Here is an 18,836-nt window from a genome sequence, read left to right as displayed (position 1 = left end):
GGAGTCTGCCCAAAAAGCTGCCCAGTTTTGTGCTTGAAACCCAGGGCCCTGGTGGTGTAGGCACCCGAGGGAATCTCCTGGTCGTGAGTTGTGAAGACCATAGGAAAAGTGTATCTGGGCCAGAATGCACCATTCCTCACAGCACAGTCCCTCTCGGCTTCCCTTGGCTAAGGGAGGGAGTTCCCCAACACTTTGTGCTTCCCTGGTGAGGTGACGCCCCACCCTGCTTCGGCTCACCCTCTGTGGGCTGCACCCGCTGTCTAACCAGTCCCAGTGAGATGAGCCAGGTATCTCAGTTGGAAATGCGGAAATCACCCACCTTCTGCGTTGATCTCGCTGGGAGCTGCAGACCAGAGCGGTTCCTATTTGGCCATCTTGCCAGCCACCCATCATTTAGGTTTTTAAAGTGTTTATTTATTTAAATGCAGTGACCAAGTGCAAAAGGAAGTGGCTACAAAACCTAGGAAACCATTTTTAAAAGTCAGGGGAGAGCTCTGGGTTGATATTGACACCAAAGAATATGCAGGAGGTGGTGTGACAGCCCCACATGCCACCAGCCTCTGTGCAGCCAGAAGCCTAGGACAGGAGGGCAGGTGCACTGCGCTGCTGGCTGGAGTGAGTGTTTACTCCCAAACTGCTTGTTGACTCCAGGAAGCACCCTGCACACTAGTGCTTTAGTGTCTCCCTGTACCAACTTGGCCATTTCTGCCTTCCTCATCTGCTATGCAGGGGTAACATGTGTTTCTCAGACCTATTAGGAAGATTTAAAGTGGCATCACATGTCATGCACCTGACACAGGGTCTTACCTGTTTTATGCAGCTTCTGTCAGCCTGCAGTCCTGGAAGACAAGCGTCTCTCCAAATCCACTGCTCCCAATTATCCGTCCAACAAAAGCAATGCAGGACATCATAGTAACATTGGCCTCACATGGGTGTGCATGGCAGTAATGGAGTCCTCAGAGTTCTCCTCCTGATTCTTGCCCAAGGGGAGCACACTGCAGCAGGGATTGAGCAGGGTGTCCAGAGCCCTGGGTGTTGTTGGCACAGTGCTCCTGTTCTTTTAGTAGGTAATTTCAGGCATGTTGGCTTCCCTTGATTACCTTTTACCTGATATAGTCCTGCTCAAAATGCATCAGTGTCATCTACCATAAGCCAGGCATAATTCCATGGGACAGGATGTGGCCCTCTGCTGTCTTGGAGGACATGGTTGGCTAGGAGTAGAGAGACACAGACCCAGAAACCAACACAAGACAGAGCAAGGTCCATGTTCTGATGGGAGCCCAGGTGCTGTGGGAACAGGGAGGAAGAGCACAGGGTCTGCTGGGAGTGGGGAGACTCACACTGATAACACACACCAGACAGAGTGAGTGCATGTGCTGATGGGAGCCCAGGTGCTATGGGGGCACAGAGAAGGGTATGCTTAAGATGAGAGGGAGAGTTAGGGACCAGTAATTCTTTTGTAGATAGAAAGTCTTTTGGACTTGGTGTAACATTTTGATGCATCAGAGAGAAGCATTCCAGGGCAAGGTGAGGCATATACACCCAGGGATGGGGTTTAGACCATGTGGGACGTACTCAGGGGTGAGTATCTGAGCTGGAGTAAGGGACCTGGGGCAGGCAGATGTTGGGACATAAGAAAGTGGGGTTTAAGGAGGAAGAGTTTGGATCTGCTGGTCCAAAGTGTTTGGGCCAAGCTCAGGAAAAAGGATGGCAGCACCCCACTTTTCTTTATTTACTTTTTCATTCATCTGCTTGTTCCTTCAGCAAACATTTATTCATTATTTGCTATGTGACAAGCACTAACCTGGGTGCTGAGGAAAGAAAGATGAATAAGACAGGGTTTCCTTCCTCAGGGAAATCATAGTCTGGTGGAGAAGATAAATAACAATGGAGTGTGACTCAGATAGCAATTTGCTGCTGCTCCAAGAACAGTTATGCAGGTGATTGGTTATGCTTGGAGATAGAGGATCTAAGACAGGCTTTTAAAAATGTGCCTTTTGAGCTGAATTTGAAGGATAAGTGGAGTAGGAGCTTGCCAGAGGGACCTCAGAAGCCATCCAGGGACAGCTGACAACAGGACAAAGCCCAGAAGTGTCACTGAGAGGAGCACGCTGGGGACACAGTGACGTCTGGTTTGAGTGGATCCTAGGTGGGAAGGGTAACTAGGAAGAAAAGACTGGAGAGATGGGATGGAATAAAGCTGGGGGTTTTTCATCCTAAAAGCACTGTGACAGTGGTGGAGATGTTTAAGCTGGGAGGTTAGGAAGGTAATAGCAGGATGGAGAGAGCTGGAGAGGCCCTGGGAAGATGTGAGGAAGACGTGTTATGAGACCTTTTGTGGTCCAGAGGAAGGATCAGGAGGAAATGAGTAGGGTGGGCTCACTAAGGCTGGCTGGTGATTGAGTGAGAGTGTGGGTAACTCCAATGTTTTGGGCTTGAGAGGCTGGAGCCAATCCCAAGACAGAACAGTCAGGAGAAGTAGATTTCAGGAGGAAGATGATGGGCATATTCTGAATATGCGTGAGATTACCGCAGGACACCTGAGGTGCTTTCCCCCACCCCATCCCCACCTTGACATCCTTCCGAAGCTCTTGATCCCTTCAGTGCTGGCCTGGCCCCTCCACTGTCATCTCTCAACCTGAGCAGCTTGCAGCCCCTTGAACTGCCAGGCTGTGTTCTGCATCTTGCTGTTTCCAAGTGGAACAGCTTTTCCCTTGTCTCAACTTTTGTCTGGCCTGCTGCTGCAGATCCTTCCGGGCTCACTCAGATGGAAGGCTTTGCATAAGGCTTTCCTGGCACTCTTGACCACCACCAGGGAGGGCTCATCCAGATCTGTCTGCAGCCGTGTGCTCATCCCACCTGATTGTGGTGGTGTGTGTTCGTGACACCTCCTCCACTGCTGTGACGCCTGTCCTGCAGGGCAGGTGGCGTCTGTGTCCACTGTGCCTGGCCCAGATGGAAAGTGGGGCGTGAGCAAACATCACAGGAGCAAATCCAGGTGGCATATCCACCAGAGAGCTGAAAACTCCAAAAGACCAAGTGAAAGGCACCAAAGACAAATACAAACACGAGGATCCTGCATCTTCCCCTGCTCTCCTGTCTGCTGGTGAAGCACAGCATGCTCTAGAGACGTGTTCAGTTATGGAGGCCCATGCTGTTGGCTTGGTCTTGTGTGTGGAGAGGAATAGAAAGGGAGAAGGAATGCAGAGGCCCAGGAAGGAAGGCTGTGAAGCTCGGTGGCCCATGTTGGCAGAGGAGGTAGCCTGGCCTGCACACCTGCTTCCCTTCATTTTTCTAAGCTTCTGGGCCAGCTGTGGCCATGTCCCCAAGGAACAGCTCCCCACAGGCTGAGAGCATACCAGTGAGGCAGTTCCATGGATTGGTCTCAGAGGGCTGTGACCCCTAGAAACCGCATGCAAATGTGCATGTGTGTGAGACATGCCTCATTCTGGGGAGACACCCCAAGAGCTTTTGCTCAGCTTTTCAAAGATGCCTGTGGCCATCAAGAGGCTGAGAACTCCTGCTATAAGGATCCAGTCTTACTTTTTTCCCCACATTAAATCCTAGGAGGAATAATAATATAAAAGATAGGGAAGAAGACCTAGATCCATACTTGCTCAGAACTACATCCTGCAATTTCCTAGAGCGCCCACACAGAACGTAGAACCCAGTTCCAAAACCACTCTCATAAAGCCGAAGGCTGTAGAGTTGCAGAGCAAGATGGACCCTTGGAAATCACTGTGACGCTGGGTCGTGTCTGGGGTGATCAGGAAGGCACACAGAGCTTATCGGTGGCAGCGCTGGAAACTGCCACAGCTCCCTCCTCATTCATTGATTCTCTTTTTACTACTTGCCTTATCTCCCAAAACTTACGTTTTAATAATTCAAAACTTTTTCTTTTTCCGAGGTAGGGTCTGGCTCTGTTGCCCAAGTTGGAGTACAGTAGCATGATCTCAGCTCACTGCAGCCTCGGCCTCCTGGGCTCAAGCCATACTCCCACCTCAGCCTCCCAACCAAGTAACTGGGACTACATCACCATGCCCGGCTAATTTTTTTTTTTTTTTGGAAGAGACAGGTTTTTGCCATGTTGTCCAGGCTGGTCTCGAACTCTTGAGCTCAAGCCATCTGCCTGTCTGGGCTTCCTAAAGTGCTGAGAATACAGGTGTGGGCCACCGTGCCTGGCTTCAAACCTTTTTCTATCCAAATAGAGTTGCCAAACAGGAAACCATTTTTTCTATAGATGTTTAGGTTTCTGGGGAGAGAAACTTTTCCTTCGAATTGCCTCTCTAACCACCGTAAAACCTGGTAGAAGATGGATCTGTTGCTTATGTCTGAATAGTTCTTTATAACTTACCCATTGACACCCATGAGCTGGTTTACTTTAGAGGGGAACACTGACACTCAGAGATGAGATGACTCGCTTGCTGCTTCCTGCCACCCACTTCAAAGCTCTCCCCACCGTCTCTCAGCCTGGGCATTCAGTTGTGCACATTCTGCAATGCTCACAGCAGGGAACCAGTAGCCAGTGTACCTGGCTTGCTGCTCTGTTTTGTGGGGGTGAAACTGACCACCCTGCTAATCACAGCCATTGGGGGAGAGGAATAAGGTCTTGCCTTGATTGAATTAGACTCTAGATATACTAGAGTCTGATTTCTAAGCAACCTGCAAAGTGAGTTTTTAATCACCATTTTACAGATGGAGAAACTAATTCAGAAAGGGAAAATACTCAAGGCCACAAGGTAGTAAACTCCCAAACTAGACAAACCTCAGGTCTGCCCAATTCCTCTTCCTGTGTTTTCTCCATATCATCTCACTACATTGGGCTGTGAACTTCCCCGCCTGCCTCCCTGGGGCAGTCCTGGCCTCCTCTCACCCCTGCCCCTTCCCTTCTTTCTCTCTCTTAGGAGTGCCAGCTTCTCCCAGGGTTCTGAGGCCCCATTCATCATGAGGAGAAACACAGCCATGCAAAATCTTGCCCAGCACAGTGGATACAGTGTTGATGGGGTCAGCGGTCACATCCATGGCTTCCATAGCCTTTCCAAGCCCAGCCAGCACAATGCAGAATTCAGAGGCAGCACCCACAGAATCCCCTGGAGCCTGGCCTCCCATGGCCACACCAGAGGCAGCCTCACAGGCTCTGAGGCGGATAATGAGGGTGTGTACCCCTTCAAGGCACCCAGAAGCACCCTGTTCCAGGAGTTTGGGGGCCACCTGGTGAACAATAGTGGTGTTCCGGCCACCCCACTCTCAGTGCACCAGATTCCTAGGACAGTCACGTTAGACAAGAACCTCTATGCCATGGTGGTGGCCACTCCTGGGCCCATAGCCTCCCTTCCCCTGCCCAAGGCAAGTCAGGCAGAAGCATGTCAGTGGGGCAGCCCTCAGCAGAGACCTTTAGTCAGTGAAAGTAGCAGGTGGTCTGTTGCTGCTGCCATCCCCAGGCGGAATACCCTTCCTGCAGTAGACAACAGCCGATGTCACCAAGGTCAGTATGAGCCCTCACTGAGACCCAGAGGGAGAGGGGAGGTGGCACCGGGTTCTCAGTGGTTAGCTAGTCCTTGGTCTCCCATGGCCAAGGGAGACTTGGGAGCCACTCAGGTCACTGATAGTCAAGTTCATCTCCTGCCTGGACCTTGACCACTGGGTCCCCCAGCACTGGAGGCTGTTAATAGACACCCAGTGGCAAGACTGGCAGACTTGGCCTCCACTAAGGGAGACAGAACATTCTTAGTTACAGTACAGCACATTATGGGTTTGGAATTCTAAATCATCATAGTGTATGTATGTTTAAATCCGAGTAAAGACTTAAAACAGAAGTTTAGGAGATCAGTCCAAAACTAGAGCCAAACCAGTGTGGACTAACAGACTGTTGAAACAAAATGAGATCTTCAAAATATTTTCCAGCCTATATTTGGGTCTCTTTGTTTGAAGCCTAAACTTGTATTTGAAATACCTAGATTCTTTTCTCATTTGTTTTCCACTGAGAGTATTTTATATCTGCATATAACCTCCTCTCCTCAATGAAAACAAATAGATCAATAGTAACTCCTTTCCTTTTGCATCCATTCTTATACCTTGCAAAGCCTTTGTTTATTCTTCCTGTTATGAGAGAGTCTGGTGGGGCAAAGCCTTGTTTTCTCCATTTTATATGAGGCCCATGGTACTTAGGCTTATTCAGGGTTGAAAGTCATAAGTGGTAAAGATGAGCCTCACCCTGAGGTCCTGGATCCTGGGTTAGAGTTCTTTGCAGTCTTTTTAGTGTTTCAGCAATTTGAGCAAGGCCCTTGTGCTGTGAAATTGAAATGATAGAGGTATATATAAAACATGTTTGCTGTTCAGAGCTCACATTTATGTGTAAAATAAAATGAAACCGACATGCAGAAGTCAGTATAAGCACTCTTTACTATTCCTGGAGGTGGCAGGTGGGTGAAAGGGATGGGTGGTGGGTGCTGTAGGAGTTGAAGGAAAAGGTGTGTCCTGAGGGCAGGCATCCAGGAGGGACACTGTGTGGGTAACACTGGAGCTGGACCTGGAAGCCCAGGAGGAGTTGTGGTAGGGAGCAGGGATGTGTTAGAGGTAACGCTTTGTCATTTGGGGTTGAGAGTCGTGTCCTCTAGAGCATCAGCGAGACCCTAAGCAGCACTGGGGAGGGCGTGGGAGGCATCAACACATGGATCAGCTGTGATGCATGTGGATCTCCTTCCTCTGTCGTAGCTTCCTCCGGCAAGTACACCCAGCATGGTGGAGGGAATGCCAGCCGGCCTGCTGAGTCCATGCATGAGGGAGTCTGTTCTTTCCTGGTGAGTATGGCTTAACCAGGGGTCCCCAGACTGGCTCAGGGAGGTAAAGGTCACACTCCATGGAACTAAAAGCACATCCCCCAAAGGGTGACAGCATCTCCCTCCTAGGAGGCTGCCTAGGTTCTTGCCTCAGTTCAGAACCATAGGTTCAGTTTTTGGATAAGTGAGATACTGGTATCCAGGTCTGGAAGAAAGTGAGTACTTAAGTAGATGGGATCACAAGTCTTACCAGCCCTGTGGGTAGCAGAGGGTGCAGAATGCTGGGGTTCTGGGTGCTCTAAGCAGGTGCTCTAACCCATGAGGTCCCCTGGAGCAGGAGTGCTTCCCTGTGAGCCTTTGGTATGGGTAGGCAGAGGGGACAGGCTGCTGGGGTGGTGGGTGATCTGATTCAGCAACCTTATCCAGGAGATCCTCTGGAGCAGGGGTGCTTCTGTGTGAGCCTCAAGGCAAGGGCAGTACTCAGAGTCAGGTGAGGTGGATGGATTCCAGGCTGCCACCTGGAAAGGGTAACCACAGTTCTCCAAGGTGTCAGACAAGCAACAAGGCCTGGCGTCAGGCTTCTTACAAAGATGGTGGGAATTAGGTAACCAAGGCAGAGGGCAGATGAGGCAGGAGCTGGAGGAAGGCTGTACCTAGGTCTGCTGCATTGCGCAACTCTGTGGCAGCTCTGCCTGCAGCTTGGTGGTCACCCAGGAGCCCGAGTGAGCCCCAGGCTCCCTATACCTCCCTGATACCTTGTCTGCTAATCACAGCCATTGGGGGAGAGGAATCTCCTTGTCTGGGGAAGTGCACCTCACCCCATACGTCACCTTCCAGGGCCAAGACATCTGATGTGATCCTTGCCTTGATCAGGGCCTGAGATGCTGACCTGCCAGTGCCGAGTCAGGACTTGAGGTGGATGATGGGTCTCGAGGCCACATCTGCATGGTGCATGGTCTGTGCTGCCTTCTGCCTGGGTCTGGTATCCAGAAACCTGAGTGGACATTGGGTGCTGAGCCACATCTGCATGGTGCATGGCCTGTGCTGCCTTCTGCCTGGCTCCGGCATCCGGAAACCCACGTGGACATTGGGTGCTGAGCCACACCTGCATGGTGCACGGCCTGTGCTGCCTTCTGCCTGGGCCCAGCATCCAGAAACCTGAGTGGACCCAGCCACTAAAGATATTTTATCCCATAGATTTGTCACAAATTGTAGTTGGACCCCAAGGGGTCCTGAGAGCTAGAAGTGCCCAGACATCTCATTTTTTTCTTGCCTCTACTTTGATTTCAGAGTCTTTCCAAGGTCACTCTGATAGCTTCAAAGTGTAGCCCTCCCCATGTAGTGAACTCTTATAATTGTATGCTGCCTTGGCATCCACATCGAATGGAGTTTTAACTTTCTCAGACCAGAGGCAGAGGACTTAGTCTCCCTGATGGTTTCCAGTTCTACACCACACCCATGTGGCTTCAGTCAGTGGCCAGAGATGGGAATTTAGACTTACCTCCCCCATGCAGCAGACTGGGCTCGCCACTTTCTTGCTGCTCCCTTTAAATGGACCATCCAGGCATTTACTCTGACCTTAATTAAGTGATCCCACACCCCATTCTGCAAGATACACTTCCAGTTGCCACCCTCTCTCCTCTTACTCCCTAACCTCCCAGGACCTGTAAGAACTGAAAACTCTTCCACTTTTACATGTTGACTGTGTCATGGAAGCTGCTCCAAAGTCTGACCCCTGAGGCTGCCCAGAGGGGCCCCATCCATGGGGTTCCTGGCTGGGGCACTTCTATCTGGGCCGCAGGTGGCTGCTGAAGACAGCAGCCCCCAGCCAAGGTGATCAAAAGTTTCGTTCAAAACACCCCGTCATGACTCTTTTTGGCCTTGTCTAGAAATTCTCATTCCTATCTTGTTCTTGCTGGTGATAGCTGTGTTTCTTTCACTGTCCTCTTCCTAGCCAGGAAGAACGCTTGTGGGCCTGTCAGACAGCATTGCTTCTGAGGGCAGCTGTGTGCCCATGAACCCAGGCTCCCCTACCCTGCCGGCTGTGAAGCAAGCAGGCGATGATTCCCAGGGTGTCTGCATCCCTGTGGGCTCATGTCTTGTTCGCTTTGACCTGCTTGGCTCCCCACTCACAGAGCTTTCTATGCACCAAGACCTCAGCCAGGGACATGAGGTCCAGCTGCCCCCTGTCAACCGCAGCCTCAAGCCTAACCAGAAGGGTAAGTCTTTCCCCATTCTATTTCTTGACAATGTCCAGGGACTCTGCATTCGCTTAGGTGTCAGGTGGATCCTGGATGTGGAACGTCTGACTTTGGCAAGTCATGTGAATTCTCTGAGCCTCAGTTTTCTCCTCTGTGAAATGGAGATAGTAACTCCTACTTCCCGGGTTTGTTTGGAAGGAGAGTGTCTGGGACAGTGGCCCTGGCTCACAGCAGGTGTCCAGTGAAGTTTGGTCTGTGCCCTCCACGTGTAGACCAGGAAGAAGAGCTAGAGCTCAGGTTCCAGGCTGCCATGACCTCACCCTGTGGCCTTGGCCCAGCACGGGGTTCAAGGAAGGAGTGGGATAACTGGGTGGGGATCAGTCCTGTGGGTCTGGCCACAGGGAACCAGACCCAGCGAGTGGCGCTGGAGCCTCAGCACCTCATGGTGTCTACCTGCTTCCATGGTGGGCTACACAGCCCTGTCCAAGGCAAGCAGGGGCAGGCATGGGGACTAAATCCATTTCAAACATTGTGTCTGTTTTTTATATCAAGTCAAATTTAGGCAGAAAAATCTATTGTCAGACTATGAGTCCCCATTTTGGATTCTGAAAATACAGTGGCTATAGATACAGTGGGAGGAGCATACGATCTGGAATCTGAGAACAGAACTCTAAGGCCCTTCAGCATGACCCAGCCGATAGAGCCTTGCCAAGCCTCAGTCCCCCGCACACAGCTGGGTGGACTGGGTGGACGGGGTGGGCCTTTCTAAGCACACCTGGGCCTTGTAGCAAAGTGGACATGGGTGTGGTGTCATCACTGGCTGATGACAAGGTTCTTTTCCTGCTCCAGCCAACCCAACACCGCCCAACCTGAGAAACAACAGGGTCATCAATGAGCTCTCCTTCAAGCCACCTGTCACAGAGCCCTGGTCTGGGACCAGGTGAGTGTCTGTCAGTGGAAACAGGAGCTTGGGACCGGGCCGGTGGAGGAGTGAGTGGGATGGTCATTGGCTTGTGGTCAGGATAACTGGATGCTCATGTCGATGTGGACATGGCTGATCCTGTCTCCGTCTCATGAGGCGTGACGGCCTTCTCATCTGTAAAGGGGGAATAATGATCCCTGTCCCTATCAGTTCTTGATCTGGTAACAGTGTGAGGCCTGGATGCTTGAAGTCAGGGCCCAGCTGGAGGCTGGAGCCCTGACAGCAGCCCTGAGCCCCACCCAGGATGTACTCCTTGCCTTCTTCCCATGACAGCCACACCTTTGACTCCAGCTCCTCCCAACACCCCATCTCCACGCAGAGCATCACCAACACAGACTCAGAAGACAGTGGAGAGAGGTATCTTTTCCCGGTGAGTCCTTGGGGGTCACTGTAAGGCTCCTATCAGAGTCCCCTGGGACCCACACTCATGTCCCCGCTTCCCAGCTTAGCTACCTCAGCTGACTCACCCCAGCCCAGTCAGGTGTGATTTGGTCTCCTATTGCAAGCTCTTCTTGAGCACAGGTGTATCAGGCAATCATTAGGGTTAGGAAGATGATGGTCTCCCCTCAAGGAAGTCTGGAACTTGAAGAGCAGAGGCAGCCCACCTCGCCCTCATGACGGTGATACAGGTGGTGCCCTGCCCTGGAAGAGGCAGAGTTGGAGGTGTCTGCTTCGCCATGGGGAGACACACATGTACATGCTTCACCCTGGTGAGGGCTGTGAGAGACGTGGAGATGCAGGTGGAACACAGGATGCCCCTTAGATTGGCACTGAAGAGGGCATCATGACCAACATTTGATAGTTGCTGCATAGATATTGGAAGAATGAGCCAGCCAGCAAAGCAGCCAAAACCCAGAGCCCAGGGCGGCCACTTTTCTCACCAGAGCCAGACTTCAGGAATGTCCCAGCAAGGTGGCAGCCTTCTAGAGAGGAGGCTGCGGGACCCTGCGTGTCTCCTGGAGAGCTGCCAAGGGGGTAGGCTCCATGCAGCCTCAGGTGGTGGGCACTGCCGATCTCTGGGAGCTGGAGGGGGAGGCAGCTGCTTCATAGGATGGACCTACTCTGGGCCATGGGTGGGAGTTTCAGATGACTGACTGGGTGCAGCATCCAGTGTGTGAAGGAGAGGCACAGTAGTAACACCTGGCTCACAGGACTGCTGAAAGGGTTTGAATGAGCAGAGAGTGCCCCAGTGCATGGCTCAGAGTAGGACCCAGTGGGCTCGTAGCTACGCCCACAGGTGTGTTCCACTGGGTGCTGGGTCTGTGTCCTGAACTCATTTGCAGGATTTTCCTCCTTGTGACAGCAGAACCCGGCATCTGCATTTCCTGTTTCCGGTGGCACCAGCAGTTCAGCCCCGCCGAGGAGCACTGGTAACATCCACTACGCGGCCCTGGACTTCCAGCCGAGCAAGGTGCCTGGGGTGGAGCTGGGGTTGGGCAGAGCCCTTGGGCCCTGGGGGAGAGACTGTGGGGCCAGGCCCTTCAGCACCGGCAGCACTGGGCTGCTGGGCTGCCACTCCCAGCCCAGTGCCTGGCTCTTATGCTCAGTGGTGCTCTGATCTGGATCTCGGGGCTCCTGTTCCTTCCCTCTCAGCGTGGTGCCTTCATCAGCCTGCCCCGACTCCCCATTAGAGACAGATGACTGTGTGGAGACCTGATCTGTGGAGGTTGTGGAATAAATCAGGAGAGACCCAGGACCGGCAACCTGGCTCCAGGCCAAACTCTTCTGTGAGGAGAACTCACTGTGTGGGAGGGTTCTAGAGCCCGGCCATTGATGCGGGGGACCTCAGAAGGAACTCCTGGGTCCAGGAAAGCCTCCCGAGAAAGCACATGTAGCCAGCCTGTCTAGACAGCAGGGTGGAGAGCTCCATCTCTGTGCATTGCGCCCCTTGGGGAGATAGGGCTCACCAAGGGCACCCCTGGAAAGGCCTAGGCTGGTGCTTGTTGACACCTGGGAAATTTCCTGCCATGGATGAGTGTTTAGAGGGGAAGGCCTTGGCCAGTCCTTGGGCCAGAGAAGGGCCTGGCTCTTCCTGCGAGGTGGGAGATGAGAAGTGCTGGCCAGGGCTATGGCATCCAGCAGGAGGAGAGGTTAGCCTGGAGTTGAGGCTTTAAAGCCCAGGCCCCCCAGGCTGCTGAGAGCAGGAGGCAGAGGTTCCTTCCCCCTGAGAAAGTTTGAGAGAGCCCACTCCTTGGCCTGCCCTTCCTCACCAGGAACTCACAGACACTGCCACTCCCACTTCCACCCTCTGTCCCTCAGCCATCCATAGGCTCTGTCACGTCCGGCAAGAAGGTGGACTATGTCCAGGTGGATCTGGAGAAGACCCAGGCCCTGCAGAAGACCATGCATGAACAGATGTGCCTGCGGCAGTCCTCAGAGCCTCCCAGGGGCGCCAAGCTGTGACTCGGGCCACCAAAACCAGAGTGGGGCCAGGACAGTGCCTCAGAGCTGCTCCGCCACACTCTAAAGCTCTGTAATATCAGGGACCGCATCCCTTACATAGAGAGCAGAGGCCTGATCAATATACATCCTTTGCCTGCTTGGGGCCCACCTGTGCCTTTGGCTGGCCATGGTCCCCACCTTCACCCCCTTGCTAGGAGCAGTTGCCAGCAAGCATCCTCAGTCTCTTCCTGCCCCTCAGACCCGGGCTCCCAACAGATTTCCACTCTCACACTTACTCATGGTCCTCAGCCTCTTCCTTCTAGCCTCTGGGCTGTTTCCCTCAATCCTGGAACATGAGGAGCTACCTTGCTGACCCGGGGACCCAAGGCCCACAGGCCACAGTGGACATGGACCTTTTCAGCCCTGGCATTTTTTGGTCAGGGGAGAGGCAAGGCCATCAAACGTTGGAATAGTTGAGAAGGAAGGTTAAAGGTGGTCTTGAGAAGCAAAGGAATTAGATCCTTAGACCAGCAGGGCAGCTGATACCTGCAAGGGCTCCCACTTTCAGACTGAGGCCAGAGTATGGCAGCTGCTCCCGGGTGGGAGAGGCAGAGAGGGAAGGGCAAAAGGAAGGGAAAACATGAAGACGAACAGCCGAAAGCCACAAGAAGCAGGGCTGGAGCTCCAGAGACTGGGGTGACAAGGACCAGGGTCAGGGCCCCAGAAATCCGGAGCTGCAGGCTGGCTCTGCTGCTCTTTGCTGATGCCCCTTGGGGGGCCCTTGCCTGCCTAAGAAGGCTTGATCTGAGCTGGGCAAAGCAGCAACTGATGGGGGAAATACCTGCAGGGTGAGGGGTGGGATGGGGCAGGGAGTGAGGGAGGAAGGGAGCATGTGCAGATGGAGATGGCTCAGGGCTGAGGGGCTCCTGGGACAGGCAGGGGCCCGAGGCAGGGCCCGGGACTCCGCAGTGCAGGTGGTGCAGCACGTGACCTTCTGTGAAGGGGCAGAGCAGTGGGGAGGGCACAGAGGGAACCCATGGGAGGCAAGGCCGGGGAGACAGCCAGGGAGAAGTGGGGAAATGTGGCCAGGGGCCCTGGGGGCATGCCATCAGTGGTGAAAGGAATACAGGAGCAGAAGGTGAAGGGGGGTCTGCTATGCATGGGAGCAGTGTGGGAGGCCAGCTGGAGGGGCATCTGGGACGCGGGTAGAGCCTGCAGGGAGGACGGCCTGGGGTGGGGCTGAGGCTGTGCCAGGCCGTGTTTCCCTCTCACTTCGCCCTCTTCCTTGGCGTTCCAGTGCCACATTGGACTCAAACTTGGCTATGGGGACAGGAGAAGCCAGTCTCCTCCTCCTGTGACTTGAGAGATTCTCAAATCGCAGGTTCAGAAGGTAGGCCCTCACCCAGGGCTTCTTGTGCCAAAGTTCAGGTAGGGATCTGAATTTTTTGTTGAAAGTTTTTGACCAAAATTTCGAAGAGTTTCAGAATGAACAGGGCAGAGCGGACACTTCATCCTACCTTGGGGTGAACAGACTTTCCTCCTCCAAAAAATGACTGCCCACAGGGTTTGATGGAGGCGGCCTCCACACCCTGTCAGCACCTGTGAGCACCACACTTCACCAGACCAGGGGCCTGGCTGGCTTCTGGGGATCCATCCCTCAGCAGGAGCCCTCTCCCCTGGCAGCTCAAAGGCTCAGGTGGCAAGGCCCCGGGCTTAGGCACTGAGGACACGGGGAATCTATTAGACCTTTTCCCAAACGTGACAAGGTCACATCAGTGAGGGAAAGGACAAGGACACAGACAGTGGTGATGGCCAAGATAGGCTGAAGATGCTGATGGGGTGCACAGGAAGTGAAAACTCCTCAGGGAGTGGAGGCAGAGAAGGTGGTTTTTAGGACAAGGGGTGCCTGAATTAGTCTTGAGAGGTTAGGTCAGATTTTTGCAGGGAAGGAGGGCAGGGCCAGGCTGCAGTGGAGGAAGGAACGACAGACTGGAAAAGCCTGTGCTGAGGGGCCACAGGAGCTTTGGAGGGCAGGTCCAGCTGCTCAGAACTGCAGGGGCCGGGCCTTTGTGCTCCCACGGGTGGAATGGTGATGGCTGTGTGACCACACTGGGCAGAGTGTGCAGGGTGCTGGCTCACTGGCCCAGCCCTGACTGTGTCCCTGTAAGGTCCTCTACAAGGGGTCCCATACAGCACAGCTCTTAACTGCCATCCCCTGTCCCCAGCTGACTACAGTGGGGCCCAGTATTGATCTCAGCTCCCAGCCCAGCCACCTTCCCTGTTGATCCCAGGCTGCTAAGAAAGTGCTGCATGTTCTGAGTGTGCATGGTGTGCATGAACTTGGTGGAGGCTTCAGAGACTGAGGTGTTCAAGTCCCATCTCCAGAGGGGTTCCTTCCAGCTCTTGGTTCCTGTGACCACCAAACCCTGAGGGTGAAAGTAGGGGTGGAGATGGAAAGAAGGACAAGAGAAGAGGACACTGGCCTATTGGAAGCAGAGCTCTACTCCCAAGCCTGGACTCCAGCCATGTCTAGCATGTATCCCCCCCTCCACCCACCATCCCAGAAGGAAAAGTCAACTCAGCTTAATACAGGGGTCCTTGGACCTATCTTGAGGTTAAAGTCCACCTCCCCTGGTGGCCTGGCCAGGACTGAGACCCCAAAAAGGGACACCTCAGCCAGTGCAGCTCACATGGGGGCTTGTCCTGCTGGGCTCTCCAGGGGAGCCGTCTTCACCCACCCCCACCACCTGCAAAGTTAGAGAGCAGTCAGGTGGGAACAATGAGAAACGGGCAAGGACATCTCCCTAGGACTTTGCTTTCCCATCTGTGGAGTGGGTGGTTGGATTCGATGTTGTCTGGCCCCTTCCTAGGCTGAGGCTCTGCTGGTCTCGGAGCTCCTTGCTCTGTTACTTCTCTCTGGAGGCTCTGCATCGCAAGGGATGAGCAGCACGAGAGCTTTGGCCAATTAGTCCCTTTCTGGCTTGATATGGACAACTTCTTCATTTCAAACTATTAAAATAGACCACATTCCTACGGCAGAAGCACAACCATTCTGGTTATGGGAACATAGGCTCAGCTGTAGTCGGCCTTGTGGTCCTTCAACGTGCTGTGAGGCTGTCATCTTAGTCCCAGGCCCTGGCACAGCATCACCCACATGACTGTGACCCCCAGGGACATGCAGGACAGGGAAGTGAGCACTTCTGTTCTGGGCCTGGGCCTTGATCTGGGAAGTGTGGGGGAGGGGAGGCTGACCTGCAGAGCACTAAGAGCATCATTCTGGGATACACCAGGCCCCTGAGGCCTGGGACGATGGCCGTCTGCCTGCTGAGAGCCCACTGCAGAGTCAGGCTGGTATGTTTGGTCCAGCGGTGTGTGTCCTTGTGTATTTGTTGGCTACTTGTATCTTGCTGTTTAGAATCATTTTGTACAGAATGTTTGGTTTCTCATTAAGAGAAAATGGGCAAGAAGCCCAGTCTTAAGTTCTTGTCTTGGTACCATTTAAAATTGACATTTCATTTTTTTTTTTTTTTTTTTTTTTTTTTTGAGACGGAGTCTCGCTCTGTCGCCCAGGCCGGACTGCGGACTGCGGACTGCAGTGGCGCAATCTCGGCTCACTGCAAGCTCCGCTTCCCGGGTTCACGCCATTCTCCTGCCTCAGCCTCCCGAGTAGCTGGGACTACAGGCGCCCGCCACCGCGCCCGGCTAATTTTTTGTATTTTTAGTAGAGACGGGGTTTCACCTTGTTAGCCAGGATGGTCTCGATCTCCTGACCTCATGATCCACCCGCCTCAGCCTCCCAAAGTGCTGGGATTACAGGCGTGAGCCACCGTGCCCGGCCGACATTTCATTTTTCAAATCACTGTTGGTGCCTAATCACTGAAGTTATTCCATTTTCTTTTAAAACTTTTGTTATGTGTATTTACCCTGTGAGCACACCTGGGGGTGACAGGAGTGTGCTCAAGAGGCTATCATTTCTGCTGTGGTCACTGGACAGGCCTCGTGCTGGCAGGCTCCTTTGTACTGAAGCACTGGAGCAGGACGGTAGTGAAGTTCATGAGGAATACAGCCCAGGGTGGGCTGCTTGGGTCTTTCTGGGAGTGGAGCCCACACTCACTCAAGTCTCACCTTAGGCTGAGCCTGAGCACCTGGCTGCCCTGGGCAGGCACAGACACACACTGTCAACAAGAAAACCATTTCAGAATCATTTCTCCAATGACCCAGGAAGGCCACTGTGCCAGTCTGTTCACTTCATCTTAAATAGGAAATAGGTACTTTTCCTGGCTCAGAGAGAAAATAAATTCTCTTTATCACAGAATCTACTTTCCTAATCTGTAAACTGGACATTGTGCTAGCACCTGCCAATCCGTCTTTCTTAGAAGGGAGTCTAGAGGTGGTTCTGAGAGGGCTTCATCTGTGTCTGTGTCCACTGGGCCCCTGGCAACAGGTTCCTGAGGTCTGACATCTCACAACTCCCCTCCACTGCTCCACCCACTGCACAAGTGGGGCAGCCCTTGAGGTCCCTGGTGCCTTTTTACCTTCCATGTTCTCCCAAATGGCACTGTAGGAATGGTGCTTGCGGACCCTGTGGTAAGGGCTGCTCCCAAGCCCCGTACATGCCCCACTTCTCTGCTTCAACTCCAGGATGGGGTGGGGCCCAGGAAAGGAGCCGGGTGCGGGCTCTGGAGTGGGAAACCTGTGGTGAGGGCTGATCCTGGGCTCTGCGAGTGTGGCTGCTCCTGCGTTTCTCTAGCTCCAGGCTGGGTTGTTGCCTGTGGTAAGGAGCTAGGTGTAGGCATGGTAGGTGCACCATGGCCCTGTGGTGACAGCTGGTCCTGGGCCCTGCCAGTGTGGCTGCTCATGTGCTCCTCTCCAGCTCCTGGATGGGATGGTGTCCATGGGAAGGAGATGGGTTCGAGTTCTGGAGAAACAGGGGGCTGCCTCCCAGCTAGCCCTGACCCATGCCAAGTCCAGCTCTGGAGATGTGACAACCCCCTCTCAACCTCCCCAGCTTCTCAGATGCAAGGAAAGAGGGATGTGGCATCTGCAACAGGTGTTTGTGGGCAGTCCAGAATTCTTGGGTCTGAAACATTTCCAGTTATTTATTTGGGTTTCAAGTGCACCTGAGAGGTGAGTCCCCTCCACAGTATTCCACTGGGACCCCCCATCCTGTGCACCCTTCCTCTCTCTTCCATTCCATCCTCTAGGTCCTCCCAGCCTCAGAACTAGGCAAGTCCTTCAGCACACAGGGCTGTCACTCCATGCTGTACCTCAAGTGATGGGGACAGGGGTATGTCCTCTCCTTACCAAGGAGCAGCATGGGTCCCTATCATGCTGCCCAGATGCAGTGAGGAAATCGAGGGTACAGCATACAGGAAGAGCAACAGCTTTCAAAGGCTTCAGAGAGGCTGGTTTCATACTGCTTGAGAACAAGGGTCTTTCTCTTCATAGAAAAGAGGCTATAGCATGGTCAAGGCACAAGAAGATCACTGGACTGCCCTCGCTCAGCCCTCAGCTACTGCTCTGGCTGTCCATGGCTGAAACTCATCCTGCTGGCCAAAGCCTTTGCTGTTCCAGTTGTTAAATATTTTGATACCACCCTTAACTCTAAAGGGTGGAGTCACAGGCACAGTTAGGAGGTAGAACTAACCTCCCACTGACACTTGGCCATTCACACTCGTAGAACAGCACACTTACTAAACAACTGCATAATTCATTATTCAAAGTCTGTTCCTCTGAAGTAAGGGGTTAGGTGCCTGGGCCACCGATATATTCCGAGCACTGAGCAATGAATGAATGAATGGATGGATGGATTTTTTTAAAAGGCTCAAAGTGAAGGGAAATATTGTATCGAACCAGTGCTTGGCTGGGACTGGATGCATCTCCACCCAGGAGATCAAATCCAGGATCCTGGTGTGTCTGCTCTTCCACAGGTGAGGATGCTGCTGTCCTTGGAAATGGCTTCCGTTCAGCCCTATGGAGGGTGGACATGGTCCAGACTCTGGGAGAGCCCGGCTCAGCCTTGGGCCCCTCCCTAGGCCACTGCTGGTAAAAGAGCACACAGACCTTCCTTGGGTAAAAGGGAGGGGACATTGCAGATAGACAGCAGGAGAAGGCCACCTGTGTGGGCAGTTCCCATAGGGCCTAGGCGGCAGCACCCTTGCGGGCTTAGCAGTGGTTGGGACGGCTCTCCTGGGACACTCCAGAGAGTGCTGGTTCAGTGCTAGTCCACAGTCCTGGCCTGGCACCAGCAAGTGGGGCAGTGATGTCACCCAGGATCTTGCAGTTCCTGCATTGAAGGGGAAGCACAGCAATCTCTGGATGAGGTAGTGTGGCGCCTGGCTCAGGCCCCTGCCTGTTCAACACCCTTCAGGACAGCACCCACCTCGCTGGAGCAGCGGTTCTCTGCTGTCAGCCTGAGGGAACAGGAAGTAGTTGACCAGGTTCAAGTCAAAGCTGGAGACCACACAGCGCCTTCACAGAGAGGGTAGTGGT

At 53.4% G+C, this 18,836-nt stretch overlaps 1 protein-coding gene across 10 annotated transcripts in view; it reads left to right on the top strand.

Annotated features, from left to right (window-relative positions):
- GAB4 (GRB2 associated binding protein family member 4) overlaps window positions 1–13,162 on the top strand; it is a 46,287-nt gene extending 33,125 nt beyond the window's left edge. For 2 of the 10 annotated variants that reach the window (XM_017028575.2, XM_011546117.2), the window contains 7 exons: window positions 4,905–5,155; window positions 6,715–6,800; window positions 8,734–8,998; window positions 9,830–9,920; window positions 10,236–10,332; window positions 11,266–11,373; window positions 12,222–13,162. In XM_017028575.2, the coding sequence (XP_016884064.1) occupies window positions 4,905–5,155; window positions 6,715–6,800; window positions 8,734–8,998; window positions 9,830–9,920; window positions 10,236–10,332; window positions 11,266–11,373; window positions 12,222–12,365 (1,042 nt within the window). In that variant the 3' untranslated portion in view covers window positions 12,366–13,162. Of the gene's footprint in view, window positions 1–4,904; window positions 5,156–6,714; window positions 6,801–7,616; window positions 8,999–9,829; window positions 9,921–10,235; window positions 10,333–11,265; window positions 11,374–12,221 lie in introns of those variants that run through there. The other 8 variants (XM_011546114.3, XM_047441117.1, NM_001037814.1 and 5 more) reach the window with 7 other exon arrangements.
- Window positions 13,163–18,836: the final 5,674 nt, after the last annotated feature.

This window comes from Homo sapiens, chromosome 22, assembly GCF_000001405.40.
Source record: "Homo sapiens chromosome 22, GRCh38.p14 Primary Assembly".
In the NCBI taxonomy this organism is placed as follows: Eukaryota; Metazoa; Chordata; class Mammalia; order Primates; family Hominidae; genus Homo; species Homo sapiens.
Note: the sequence above shows the minus strand (reverse complement) of the source record. Positions and strands in the feature narration are given on the sequence as shown.